Raw genomic sequence first — 13,873 nt, 5'->3', positions numbered from 1 at the left:
CGTAGTGACCCCACACACATCCTATGCCCACACACAGCTGGAGAGAGGCTTCCCTCAGGAAACCCTGGTGCCATTAAGAGAGGAGAATGGATGGCAGACAACCCAAGCCCCACAGAGGTCTCCACCCTGTGCTCTAAAAGACATGTGCATTTCTTGAATGAAATCAAGTGGGAGATATGTGCCTAGGCAGGGTAGAGTGTTTGGTTTATGCCTGCCTGCTTTCTCCTGGCTCCTCCTTTCTCTCATTTCTTCCAACTCCTCTGATCTTCCTTCACAGGGATTTCAGGCTGAGAAGATGAGGTTTATTTTCAGAGGAGTCATGTCAGACAATATGAAGTGTTAGGTGGTTGGGCCAGGAATGACCTATATGAGTGGAGTTCAGAGAGGGAGAGCCAACATGGCTAGCGTGGGCAGGAGGGGCTCTGTGGCAGAGCTGGATTCAGGTGGCTTAGTGCCTGGAAAGGTCTCACAGAGAAGGCCGTTGATGGTAGAGGACAGCCTGGATGATGGCACTGGGGGCAGCTCCCACGACAGAGGGGGAATAAGTACAGCTGAGTGAAGCTGACTTGGCTTTTGATTTTTCATCTTAAGCAATGAGCCGTTACTGAGCACTTACTGTGTGCATCTGGGCTCCTTACGTAAGAGGGGCTGCGAGGATAAATGGGAACGGGACGGCACAGTCCCTGCCTGTGGGACTGTGAGGAGTCTGATGAGAACTGTGGAGGAGGTGAGAGCCTGATGAGAACTATGAACAAGGGTATGGAAATGATAAATACAGCAGAGCATGACACAGAGTGCATCCGGCAAGCAGAGATCATGCCCCTTGAACAGCTGGGAATGGCTTCACAGAGGTTACAATTGAGGTGGGTCATGAAGGGATGTGTGAGATTCTAATCAGGAGAGCTGTGTGTGTGTGGTGGTGGGTATAGGAAAGGTAGGACGCAAACTGAGAGTGGCTAAAACTCCCCAAAGGAAGTGGTGAGTAGAATATATTGGCTGAAACCCAGCACATCTGTTCTAAAGAAAATACAGGCAGTTGGACAGGAAGGTAGGTCGAGAACACTGAAAAAGGTCTTGACCAAAGGTAATAAGGTTTTAGGGTGGGGATTAGGAAGACCTGTATATTCGGATAGGGCTTGGTGTTTTCTATCACTCCTCTTAGCTAATCTCATTTGGGTTTTTCCCTGCAAGCCTGATAGGACATGTCTAAGGCTGCAGCACAAAGACACGAGAAGTCTTGTCCTGCATCTCTGTGTACAGAGTAAATGACACCCACTGAATGGGATGGGTCTTGTTGACCAGGGGAGTGGGGAGATTTGCTCTTTAAAGGAGAGGGTTGTCTCTAGAGGTAGCTGAGGATAGTGACCTCTCACTGGCATGTCTGGGCAACACAGGGCATCTGTGATGTATCATTCACTCATTTCCATGCTGCCTTTGCCACTGTCCAGTGTGTTTGTCCTCCACCCTATCCCTCACATGTGCATCCTTCAAACCTCTGTTAGAGAAGAACCAGCACCCCTTTATTGACGAGGTGTCTCCAGAGGGCCCTTGGGAAAGGCCTGGTCCTGGGCTGCCTCCTCACCTGGCCTTGCTGCAGGTTTCAGAACAGTGTGGATGGTGGTTCTCAGGCCCACCTGCACATCCGAAACCTCTGGGGAGCTTTGAACAACGCTAGCAGCTGGGCCAGCGCCACACCAGTCTGTAGTACCCAAACTAGCTGAGGTATTACAAGCACCCCTGATTTTATGGACAAGCAGACTGAGGCTCAGCGTATAAGATTACTTGCTGGTAGATACATAGCAAGAAAATGGCAGAGCTGGCATTTGAACCCAGGTAGTCGATTCTTGAGTCCAACCTTCAAACCCCCAGGTTTTGTCATCCCTCCCCTGCTGGCTAAACTGTCACAGTACTGATTTGGCCATTCATAACTAGGTGGCAACCACAGTTTTTTGTTTCACAGCACAACTAAGATTTTAAAGGCAGTTTTTGAAATAAACAAACCAGGAATGTGGGATGTTACTTCTGGCCCCATGCCTCCCAGTAAGGTAGATGTGAAATTAGCAGCTGGAATTCTCTGTTTCTGAAGCTCAGGTGTCGACTTTCAGGGCTGCTCTCCAATGCACAGGCAGCCAAAGTGCTGTGGAAACCTCAGCTAGGTCCTAACCTTCTTGAAGGTTGTGACTTTATTTATTAGTTTCTGTCTTCCACAATGCTGATGCACAGAACTAAACTGATAAATATCTGAATGAACGAATGGCTGACAAATTTGTACTATTCACTTGTGAGCTCCTGTCCTGCCATGCACAGCTTGTTTCATCTCATCTGCAGTGAGTACCAGTCTAGATACCATCTGAGTCCCAGGGTACAGGTATTGAGAGGTATGTCATTAAAGAAAAATAGAACAAAAACTAATGCTAACTCTGCATTAGGCAGAACCGTTCAGTCAAGAGGTTTGAGGGTCTAAGATGTAAAAGGGGCGGTTAGCAGCTTCCACTTGTTTCTTTTGATGTGGCCAAAAGCTAAACTGGAACTCTTTTCCTTTGTTTTACAGGTCACAGCCAAGACTGCCTTTCTATTTATTTTACCTCAGTATAACATTAGCGTGCCTACAGCAGGTAAGAATCACTGGTCTCCATCTTCTCCTGGCCCTGTTAACCCTGAAGGACCTGGAAAGCTTCCTTTTCCCCATCTGTGTACAATTTTTTTTTTTTCCCCCATGACGGAGTCTCTGCTCTGTCACCCAGACTGGAGTGCAGTGGCACAATCTTGGCTCACTGCAACCTCCACATCCCAGGTTCAAGCAGTTCTCCTGCCTCAGCCTCACAAGTAGCTGGGATTACAGGCGTGTGCCACCACGCCCTACTAATTTTTGTACTCTTAGTAGTGAAGGAATTTCACCATGTTGGCCAGGCTGGTCTCGAACTCGTGACCTCGTGATCTACCTGCCTTGGCCTCCCAAAGTGCTGGGATTACAGGCATGAGCCACCACGCCTAGCTGTGTACAATCTTTTTAGATATTTCAACCAGCCTCTGGCAGCCTCCACCACTGAGATTGCAGTGGTGCAGCATTAACCGCTAAGAACTTCCCTCTCTTCTGCTCTCTGTCTTCTTCATCAGAAGAGGACCTGCTGCACCACGTGGTGCTTTGTGCAGCTCCTACTCCTTTCTCCAAAGCATCTAACATTGAGTTCTGTTGGAGACAGGATGTGAGGCATCATGACCATTGATCTGTTCTCCAGAGCATGGCTTCCTTTTAACATTTTCAGAGGAGAATGGGCAGGATGTTGCGTTTTGATAGTGCATGGAAGCATGGTTGGGGCCCAGGGTGCTGCACTCTGACTGGGTTGGGGTAAGGACCAAACCTCAGGCCCAGCCACAAGTCTTGTCACAGGACTGTTGTTAAGGCTCACTGACTAGAGCTGCTGCATCACAAGCTTCCCCCATAGTGGCTGAGCATTTCCAAGCACTTACAGGGAGCCCAGCCAGCATCATGCCAGGTACCAGAGCGGCCTCACAGGCAGTTCCCAGTACAGTTGAGGGGCTACAGCTCAAGGAGCAGCAAGGCCAGGCAGGTAAATCGCTGAACTGGACAGGGGAGAGGGTCTATCTAAAGGAGTAGCTGCTGCTCACTTCCAGCCAATTGTCACATAGGAGTGTAAAACCTGTGAGCCTAAGAGCTTCCTTTTCCACCCCCTACAAAAGAATCCAAAGAAATCTCTTTTTAGGTAGAAATACTCTGATTTTTAAATGTTGCCAACTAATTTAGAAATTCTGCAAACACCATGCGGGTCAACATTGTGTAAACCAAACCAACACATCTGAAGGCTGAGTCCAGCCCTCGGGCACAGGTCTGCAACTTAGGGGTTCTCCGATCCCGCCACCAGCACCAGAGTATCGCTCCTTTCTCAGTGGCAAAGTCCTGGGCAGCCTCTTGATGAACAAAGGAAGGACTTTTGTTTGCTGAACCTAGTTCTTTCCTCTTTATTCTTTTTGTTGTTGTTGTTTGTTTGTTTGTTTGGATGGAGTTTCACTCTTGTTGCCCAGGCTGGAGTGCAATGGCCTGATCTCGACTCACTGCAACCTCCACCTCCCGGGTTGAAGCGATTCTTCCGCCTCAGCCTCCCAAGTAGCTGGGGTTACAGGCATGCGCCACCGTGCCAGTCTAATTTTATGTTTTTAGTAGAGACAGGGTTTCTCCATTTTGGTCAGGCTGGTCTCGAACTTCCGACCTCAGGTGATCTGCCCACCTTGGCCTCCCAAAGTGCTGGGATTACAGGCGTGAGCCACCGTGCCCAGCCTTTTTTTTTTTTTTTGGACGGAGTTTCCCTCTTGTTGCCCAGGCTAGAGTACAATGGCGCGATCTTGGCTCACTGTAACCTCCACCTCCCGGGTTCAAGTGATTCTCCTGCCTCAGCCTCCCAAGTAATTACAGATGTGCACCACCACGCCCGGCTAATTTTTTGTATTTAGTAGAGAAGGGGTTTCAGCATGTTAGTCAGGCTGGTCTTGTACTCCTGACCTCAGGTAATCTACCCGCCTCAGCCTCCCAAAGTGTTGGGATTACAGGCATGTGCCACTGCACCCGGCCTTTTCCTCTTTATAGTAGAGAGGTGACTTGTCTTGACTTTAAGGTGAGATTCTTTTCCTTGTCTGGCTCTGCCAGCTACTAGCTAAAGGACTTTGGGGGCAAATTCCTGAACCTGTGGCTCATGGAGGATATAGCCATGAATCTTTCCTGGGCCCACCATCCCCTGCAGTCACTGTGGCCAGGCTTGGAAGGAAGCCATGCTTTTCTGGGGCAACCAAGTCAGTTTCTTCATCTGAGAGTCAAACTGAGGGACATTGGCAAAAGAGGAAGAAAGCTCTATGCTACTAAAGAGACTGGAGAGCATCTCTGTCCTCAGTGGGCCAGGAAACATGTGGCCAGCACCAGTGGTCAGGAAGCAGACAGATGCCCGCTCATCCCAGGGCACACTCTAGTGCTGGGGGGCACGTGGATGATGTGGCTCAGGGCTATGTGTTCTAAGTCAAATCCGGGCTTATTTACTCTTGCCTCTTGAAAATCCTAATAACAGAGACTTGGCTGTACTCAAGATTTACTGATTTATTTTTTAGTTTAAAAAAATTGTAAAATCTATATAACATAAAATGTACTATCGTAACCATTTGTAAGTGTGTAACTTAGTGGCATTAGGTACATTCACATTGTTGTGCTACCATCACCACCATCTATCTCCAGAACTCTTTTCATCTTGCAGATTGAAACTCTGCCCACCAAACCCTAACTCCCCTTTCCCCACCCCCTCTAGCCCCCAACAGCCCCCATTCCATTTTCTGTCTCTGTGAATTTGACTACCTTAGGTACCTCATATAAGTGAAATCATATATAGTATTTGACCTTTTGTGACTAGTTAAAATTTATTCTTAAACACTTTTTCAAAATACATTTATATGAGTGATATATAACTCTTAGAGAAAAATTATAACACAGAAAACCATAAGAAGATAAAAGTTACACAGGACCCCATCACCCAGAAAAAAACTAAAGTTAGAACGTTTTGGAATATTGATTTATAACACAATTTTTTGTTTTTATAATATGATGAACCTTTTTGTGTGTCCTCGATTATCATTCCATTTAACCAGATATTCTGAAAAGCTGCAGGATGTTTCTTAATAGGGATTACCACAAATTATCCAATCAGCCCCATATGGATATTTAGGTTTCCTGTTTTTATTGTAAATAGTACTACAGTGAACATTCTTGTGGCTAAATTTTTACATTTATTTGTGATGACTTTCTTAGGATAACTTCCTATTACTGGAATTTCTGGGTTAAGTAGTATGTAAAGGTTTTATGTATGTATTGCCAAAATACCTTCTGTCATTTAATACTCATGACCCATAAACCCTAAATTTAAAGTTGTTTTGTAAATATAAAATGCACAGGATTAAAAAAAAATCAGAATACCAGTTTATAAATGTCTATAGAGATAGCCAGTCATCAAACATTGTGCTGGTGTTTTCATTACATTTCTCCCTGAAGTCAACTTACAGGGGATGCTGGATCATACCCCACATACCCAGAGCTGTCTTACTAATTTACCATGAGAAAGAATTATCCTGGAGACCAAAAAAGTTGAAGTGCATGTGATTGGGCATCCTTTTATTATAAGAAGGGCTTATTTGTGAAGCCAGATCATGATCAGAGGGTTGATTTTTGAGTTTGAAACCTTCCCAGAGACATTGGCAGACAAGTGATATCCTCAAGCATTCTTCTCACAACAGCATGAGAAGCATAGACAGCACACTCTAGAGCTGAACTCAGACCCTCTGGGCAGAAAAAGCTTCCTACAATGTTTGAGTAAGGCGGAGTGGGGGTAGTGGAGTGCCACTGTGGATCATGTCATGCCTTCATTTGCTTAATTAATTAATCAAGCTAGGCAAATATTTGTGTGCCTATTGTTAGCCAGGGTCTGGGTGTAAAATAATGTCCAGAACCCATCTGATCTCTGATGTCATGAAACATCATTTATTAGAGAGAGATAGGTAATAAACAAGTAAACAATGAATTAAATTGTAGTTGTAACAGGGTGATGAAGGAAATGTACAAGGTTATGTGGTAAGGAAAAGCAAAGGGGTGGCGACAGAAGATGTTTCTGAGTGTGGGGGTTGTGTTGTGTTGTGAGTAGAGTGAGAGGTCTGGGCAGAAGAAAGCACTCCGGGCACATGGACCAGCATGTGCAAAAGCCCTCAAGTGAGGGCGCAGACACCTCAGGGGGTTCTAGTAACTGTACATAGGCCAGCGTGACTGGAACCAGTGGGGTTTGGCATTTTCCCAGGGTGGCACTATTGAATTCTGCTCCTGGAATCCTCCTCCAGGCCCAGAACAGGCCTGGGTAGAGGAAAAGGTACAGTGAAGTACATGCTAAATGGAGGGGGTTTCAGTTACTTTAGCAAGAGAAGATAAAGTGTTTTAAGTAGCCTGTCTTTTATTTAAATCTTGCCATTTGGGGCTGTTGGAAATAAGACAAGCAAATAATCAAGAGAGACAATGAAATCAGGATAGCCTGCTTAATTTTGTTTTGAGCTTCTTAATCACTAACCCAATATGGTAATGTTTGGTTTGTAAGAACTGGAGGAAAGCAAACTTCTCATGGGAAAAAACACTTTACAATAACAAGTCTGTTAAGGTTGTGATTTTTAAAACCCTCCCCAAAATCTCCTTAGATCGTACTCTACTCTTGGAAATGTACCTTTTTTTTTTTTTTTTTTTTGCATAACCAGGGTAAATTCTGACTTCTAAGGTTTCTTCCTTAAGTAGTGTATAGCTTGCTCAACTCAACATTTAAAACTGAATTTTAGTAGAGCCAGTAACTGTTTTCATACAAGGGGGTCCATCATTTCCAACTCCCTGTGTCTTCCTCAGCGGATGTTTTCAAGTTCTAAGGAACAAAGCTAATAAGTAATGTGGATGAGGCTTTTTCTTGATGGTTTTGTTTTGCTGTAACTCCCTCTTCTTCTATACTCCTTTCTCGTCTTCCCAGCTCCCAGTATTAGTTTCCTAGGGCCGGTGTAACAAAAGTACCACAAACCTAGTGGCTGAAACAATAGAAATTTACCATCCCAGCGTTCTGGATTCTAGAATCCCGAGACCACGGGGCCAGCAGAGGGGCCGCGCTCCTTGGAAGGCTCTGGGAAGGATCTAGTCCAGGCTTCCCTCCTGGCTTCTGGTAGTTCCTTCGCGTGTGAAGTGTCAGTCTTCACACGGACTTCTCCCTGTGTGCGTGTCAGTCTGTGTGTCCAAATTTCTCTTTTTCATAAGGACACAGTCGTATTGGATTAGAGGCCCAACCTACTCCACGGTGACCTCATCTTAACTAACTACATCTGCAGAGACCCTGTTTCTAAATGAGGTCACATTCTGAGATGCTGGGAGTTAGGACATCAACAAGAGTTTTGGTGGAGGTGAGGGAGACACAAGTTTAGCTCACAACACCAGCTATAAATTTATGATTTTGTGCATTATAATCAGCTGGTTAAAAAGATTAAGCTTCATTCAGAGAGATGCACACAGTAGTGGCAGTGATGCATCTTATGCATCCTGGTGGAGCCCCTGCCACCCTGGCGTCCTTGAGGTTTTCTTTAAGGACAACAGTGATGAAGCAGGAAATATTCCTTTACTAACTTCTGCTCTCCTCATTCCTGCTTGCCTTTCTATTAGCGAATAAAAATTCAGGACTGCCAGTTAAATTTTCAGATAAACAATAAATATCTTTTTAAAAGTATAATTACGTCCCAAATTATGTATGAGATAGCATTATACTAGAAAATTAATCATCATTCATCTGAAATTCAAATTTAACTGGCCACAACCATCCACCCTGCTCGGTTCTGGCAAGGAATAAAATATGTGTTTTCTGGTCTTACCATTACACACTCTGAGTCTTCTTTCTAATTAAACTACCACAAAGTATCTAGTGTGTGATCAGAAATGTATAGACTATAAAGGCCAGAAAAGAAAAGTTTGATTCTTCCCACAGGCAGACTCCAGGCCTGCTGGCTTCCTTTCTGATCTAGAACAGGTGAGCCCAAATGGGCTAAGCATTTAGCCACAAGGTTGTCTTGGGTTGTGCTACTAATTTGCTGAATTGTCTTGGGTGAAACACTTAACGCTGAATGGTCTTGGGTGAAACACTTAACACCTGGATCTCCATCTTGCATCTGCAAAATCCAGAGTGATGACCACTCCCTCAGCCCCAGTGGTTCTTGTAGACAGGAAGCCCTGGGAGTCCTCTGAAGGGCTTGCTACTCAGATTTTCCGTAGACCAACACCATCGGCACCACCTGGGAACCTGTGAGAAAAACACACTCTCAGGCCCCACCGCAGACCTGCTGCATCAAAACCTACATTTTAACAAGAGCTCCGGAGATTCCTGTGCCCCGTAAAGCCCGAGAAGCACGGCTTTAAATGAGGTGGGCGAAAATCTCTAGGCTTTCAAATAATCCTACACTTCTAACCTCAAAGGTAGGATAGGGAAACCCCTAAACCCAGTAACTCATTTGCATCTTTCTGTCCTTTTCTAGTTTTTGTTTTTCTATAAATATTTGGTCTGGGAAAGCTGGGGGGAGGTGGGGAGTATCACTGGTGGAGTTGGTTTCCAGCTGGTGCTATACAGCTTCCTAAGAAGTCATGTACACATTTGTGGCTGGGCACGGTGGCTCACACCTGTAATCCCAGCACTTCGGGAGGCCGAGGCGGGCGGATCAAGAGGTCAGGAGATCGAGACCATCCTGGCTAACACGGTGAAACCCCATCTCTACTAAAAATACAAAAAAATTAGCCGGGCGTGGTGGTGGGCACTTGTAGTCCCAGCTGCTCGGGAGGCTTAGGCAGGAGAATCACTTGAACCCAGGAGGCGGAGGTTGCAGTGAGCTGAGACCACGCCACTGCACTCCAGCCTGGGTGACAGAGCGAGACTCGGTCTCAAAAAAAAAAAAAAAAAAAAAAGTCATGTACACGTTTGTAAGGCAGTGTGAGCAGAAGTTCTGGTAGCTTTGATGTTGCTCAGCCTGCCTGCTGCTGCACACCTAGAACACCAAGGCTAAGGTTGAGGGAACTCTTCCAGAGAAAGGTTTGTTTTACAGTGATCAAAGGTAACAAGAATCCATCCCAGAGCCCTGAGGATCCCAGTTGGCTTTATTACTACCATCTGCTCTGTTGCATTTTGCAGCCAGAGATGAAAGGCCTGAGAACCTCCTACACTATAGCTTGGCCATTGTTCTCGCAGCCTCTTCTAGGATGAGACTTGCTGCAGTCAAAACAACCTCAGACAGATGGTTTTAAAGCCTCATTCAGCCAAAGGCCTTTTTCCAGGGCTCAAAATGATTCTTGTTCCCTTTGCTGGTTGGCAGGAATTAGTGTTGTCTCCTGCTTGTATCATATACTTGAAAGATTGACATCACTTATCAAGCTGAGCCCCTCTTTGTAAGATGAGCTCATGGGGGTCAAGAAAGGAAAGAGACAGGTGGGCAGCGGTGGCTCTGGAGATGGAAGCCATACTTGATTACGGATGAAAGCTACCTAATCTGTGGCCCATACACCTGGAGGAGACTTGAGACTCATCTAGTCTGGCCTGCTCCTTTTATAGCCAAGGAAACTGAGGCTCAGAGAATTGATTGGTGCTCCCAAGGATGCACCAGCGAGAGCCAAGGAGGGGCTGGGGTGCTCACACCTGTACAGCACCAGGGTTCTGGAAAGCTTTAGAAAAGCTGGGTTTATCAAATGGGGCAGTGGGCATAGGCAGTCCCAACCAGGGAGGTAGAGACTTGGCTCTGTCCTGGCCCTGTTGAGCCAAACAGCCACAAAGCTCTCTGGCCCTGAGGTTCTGTTTGTATGAATAAGAGAAAAACCACGGCCCCCAGTGTCCCTGGCCTTATTGGTTGGCCATCTGAAAAAGAATGGGGAGCCTCTGACCCAGGTCTTATGGCCAGCCCTGGACTTGATTTTTTTTTCCAATAACTAAAACTTATTAAGTGTAACAATTGTGCAGAAAGGTGGACAAATCATGTGTTCAGCTCAATGAATTTTCACACACTGAACACCTCCGTGCAACCTAGAAGTGTCTTCTTCAGACGCAGCTTGATTTTTATGCAATTCCCTGTCGTAGCTCTGATAATTTATCCCATTCCATGTGGAGCTTGTGGCAGTTTAAATAAGCAGAACCACAGAGTGGCTGTGGCTGATTGTTAACCAGCCTGAAGCCTGCAGTCAGCGGGAACGGTGGCCAGCACCTGCTGACCCACATCTTTGAACTGCTGCACTGAGCCCCCAAATGTCTTCTCCTAGTGAATCATCTTGCTCTTCCTCCCACCCCACCCCACCCCGCACCCTTTCTGACCTGGACCCCACCCCACATCTTTACTTGAATTTCACTTTCCTATTTCTCCTGATCAAATCGTTTCTTCTACCTAGGTAGGATAATTTTTTTCTTTTCTTTTCTTTTCTTTTTTTTTTTTTGAGATAGAGTCTTGCTCTGTTGCCCAGGCTGGAGTACAGTGGCACAATCTCTTCCCACTGCATCCTCCACCTCCTGGGTTCAAGCTATTCTCCTGCCTCAGCCTCCCGAGTAGCAAGGACTGCAGGCGCCCGCCACCACGCCCGGCTAATTTTTGTATTGTTAGTAGGGATGGGTTTCACCATGTTGGCCAGGTTGGTCTGGAACCCCTGACCTCAAGTGATCCGCCACCTCGGCCTCTCAAAGTGCTGGGATTACAGGTGTGAGCCACCATGCCCAGCTGGATAATTTTTTTTTCTAATCAGTTGTTTTGACTGAAATAATTTTTGTCAATTTAACAGTGGGTTTGTTGAAATTGTTATTTTTTCTGTAAGTTTAAAAAAAAAGCCTTAATTAAAAAAAATTTTTTTGTATGTGATTCTTGAGAGATTATTTTTTCTTTATAGCTCTCAATGAATTTTAAAAAGTTCACACCTTCCCCTAGCTGTAAGCATTCTTCACGTGAGGCAGCCTATGGAATGCATGTGTCATGCCCAGGCGATGTTGTATGCAGAAGCCACAGAACTTTGAAGTACAGTGGAGTCTGTAGTATGTGCCTGGCACCTAGGAATCCTTGTATATTTCTTTCTGGAAAGCTACAGGGAGGGTTACAGCTTTATAAAAAGGAATGGTGCATCAAGAAAGCAATGCAGGCCGGGTGCAGTGGCTCATGCTTATAATCCCAGCACTTTGGGAGGCCGAGGTGAGCAGATCACTTGAGGTCAGGAGTTTGAGACCAGCCTGGCCAACATGGTGAAACCCAGTCTCTATTAAAAATGCAAAAAAATTAGCTGGGTGTGGTGGGGCACACCTGTAATTCCAGCTACTCAGGAGGCCGAGGCACAAGAATCGCTTGAGCCTGGGAGGCAGAGATTGCAGTGAGCTGAGATTGTGCCACTGTACTCCAGCCTGGGCCAAAAAAAACAAAAACAAAAAGCAATGCAGAAACCTGGGATCTTATCAACTTCTCTTCAGCCCTTCATTCATCTTTGCTACATTGTTTTATGTCATGGAAGTATCCTTTCTTTATCTTCCTTCCTTACTATAAAAATGGAGAAAATATATTACAAAGCATGCAATGTGGGGTTAAAATGGTAACTCTGAAGATCTGTCAGATCTTTAATTCTCTGGCGTGTGTGTGTGTGTGTGTGTGTGTGTGTGTGTGTGTGTGTGTGTGTGTGTGTGTGTCTGTCTGTGTGTATTTCCTAGGATGGCCATAACAAAGTACCACAAACTGAATGGCTTAAACAACAGAAATGTATTGTCTCACAGTTCTGGAGACCAGAAGTCTGAAATCAAGATGGTGGCAGGGTTGATTCCTTCTGAGGGCTGTGAGGGAAGGATCTGTTCTAGGTCTCTCTTGGCTTGTAAATGGTCGTCATCTCCCTGTCTCTTGTCATCACCCTCCCTCTGTTTGTGTCTGTCTCTGTGTCTAAATTTCTCCCTTTTTAGAAGACCACCAGTCATATTGAAACAGGTCCCACCCTAATGACCTCATTTTAATTTATCTCTGTAAAGACTCAATCTGAATTAGGACAGGAGTCTAGCTCTGTCACCCAGGCTGGAGTGCAGTGGCACAATCTCGGCTCACTGCAACCTCCACCTCCTGGGTTCAAGTTATTCTCCTGCTTCAGCCTCCTGAGTAGCTGGGATTACAGGCACCTGCCACCAAGCCCAGCTAATTTTTGTATTTTTAGTAGAGATGGGGTTTCACTGTGTTGGCCAGGCTGGTCTTGAACTCCTGATCTCGTGATCCACCCGCCTTGGCCTCCCAAAGTGCTGGGATTACAGGCCTAAGGCACTGCACCTGGCCCAAATATTTTTTAATGGAGGTACAATTCAACCCATAACAGCCTCTGTGTGTGTGTGTATCTGTGCTTATGTGTCTGAGAACTATGGTGATGCTTGTAGTTAAAACACCACTGGTCACATCTTCTAGGTTGGGAGGCCACAGAGGGAGTAGGCCAGCAGCCTGGAGAGTGGGGACAATGCTGCCCTTGGAGGCTGCTTGCCCCATGCCTGTCTTAAGCTCCTCTTTTTTCCCTGCCACCTGGGGGAGTGGGGCAGGCCTTCAGGGTTTAATGAGGGCACCTTCTGTGTGATTTGAAGGGGTATCAGGAGGCAGAGAGGCCTGATGGGGAGCTAATGGATTTGGCCCTGGCGTCAGTAGCACAGCTGAGTCCTGGCCCCACTGCTGCCTAGCTGCAGGTCCTGGGGGCACAGCGACTGCTCACCTCTATGCCTCAGCTGCCATGTCAGTAAATGGAGATAATCCCGGGATTACTCTGAAGAGTAAATGTTCCCATGAGAGGTGCTCAGTATCATGCATGGATAGAGCAAGTGACTCTTCTGTTCCTTTAGCGTCTGATTGTTTCTGTTGGAAGTAGGCATAATACTTTCATCTATTTGCATAGCACCTTACAGTGTGTAGCTCTGTGAGAAAAGGTAGATGGTTTTATCCCATTGTTCAGAAGGGTTAACTGAGACAGAGGGACCCTGGGTCATATGACAGACAACTGATGGCTCCAGAAGTGAGCTCCAGGTCTTTTCATGCCCATTCTCGCTCCCTATGGAAGAAAAAAAAAATAGAGCAACAAGGTAGAGAAGAAGACACCACTTTATCTGTACAAAGCAGGAAGAATTTGAAGACTTACTTAAAAATTGTTTTTTGAATAGAAATACATTCACACAGTTCAAGTATAAATCTGTATTAAAACACTTTCCTGTACAGCTCTAACCTAGGTCAAGGTTTTTTGTACCGATTGAACCTAGACCAAGATAGAGTATTTCCCACTTCCTAGCTTCCCTGTGCCCCA

General features: G+C 45.8%; 1 protein-coding gene across 1 annotated transcript in view, besides 5 other annotated features; it reads left to right on the top strand.

The window, feature by feature from the left end:
* The window catches only part of TRAM2 (translocation associated membrane protein 2), a 79,653-nt gene that overhangs the window by 38,663 nt on the left and 27,117 nt on the right, over positions 1 to 13,873 (top strand). The window contains exon 2 of the mRNA NM_012288.4: positions 2,552 to 2,615. Within this exon, the coding sequence (NP_036420.1) occupies positions 2,552 to 2,615 (64 nt within the window). The remainder of the gene's footprint in view (positions 1 to 2,551; positions 2,616 to 13,873) is intronic.
* Positions 799 to 858: an enhancer, noted in NCBI's record as "active region_24683". NCBI's record gives its function as "activates an Ori minimal core promoter by ATAC-STARR-seq in GM12878 lymphoblastoid cells {active_cell/tissue: GM12878}" and the evidence as "EXISTENCE:reporter gene assay evidence [ECO:0000049][PMID:35858748]".
* Positions 1,109 to 1,198: an enhancer, noted in NCBI's record as "active region_24682". NCBI's record gives its function as "activates an Ori minimal core promoter by ATAC-STARR-seq in GM12878 lymphoblastoid cells {active_cell/tissue: GM12878}" and the evidence as "EXISTENCE:reporter gene assay evidence [ECO:0000049][PMID:35858748]".
* Positions 1,379 to 1,428: an enhancer, noted in NCBI's record as "active region_24681". NCBI's record gives its function as "activates an Ori minimal core promoter by ATAC-STARR-seq in GM12878 lymphoblastoid cells {active_cell/tissue: GM12878}" and the evidence as "EXISTENCE:reporter gene assay evidence [ECO:0000049][PMID:35858748]".
* Positions 12,662 to 13,166: an enhancer, noted in NCBI's record as "H3K4me1 hESC enhancer chr6:52390030-52390534 (GRCh37/hg19 assembly coordinates)". NCBI's record gives its function as "activates a minimal SCP1, AML or CMV promoter by ChIP-STARR-seq in naive H9 embryonic stem cells {active_cell/tissue: H9 hESC(naive)}" and the evidence as "EXISTENCE:reporter gene assay evidence [ECO:0000049][PMID:30033119]".
* Positions 13,167 to 13,672: an enhancer, noted in NCBI's record as "H3K4me1 hESC enhancer chr6:52389524-52390029 (GRCh37/hg19 assembly coordinates)". NCBI's record gives its function as "activates a minimal SCP1, AML or CMV promoter by ChIP-STARR-seq in naive H9 embryonic stem cells {active_cell/tissue: H9 hESC(naive)}" and the evidence as "EXISTENCE:reporter gene assay evidence [ECO:0000049][PMID:30033119]".

The sequence above is a fragment of the Homo sapiens genome, chromosome 6 (assembly GCF_000001405.40).
Source record: "Homo sapiens chromosome 6, GRCh38.p14 Primary Assembly".
NCBI lineage: Eukaryota > Metazoa > Chordata > Mammalia > Primates > Hominidae > Homo > Homo sapiens.
This window is presented reverse-complemented; position numbering and strand designations above follow the sequence as displayed.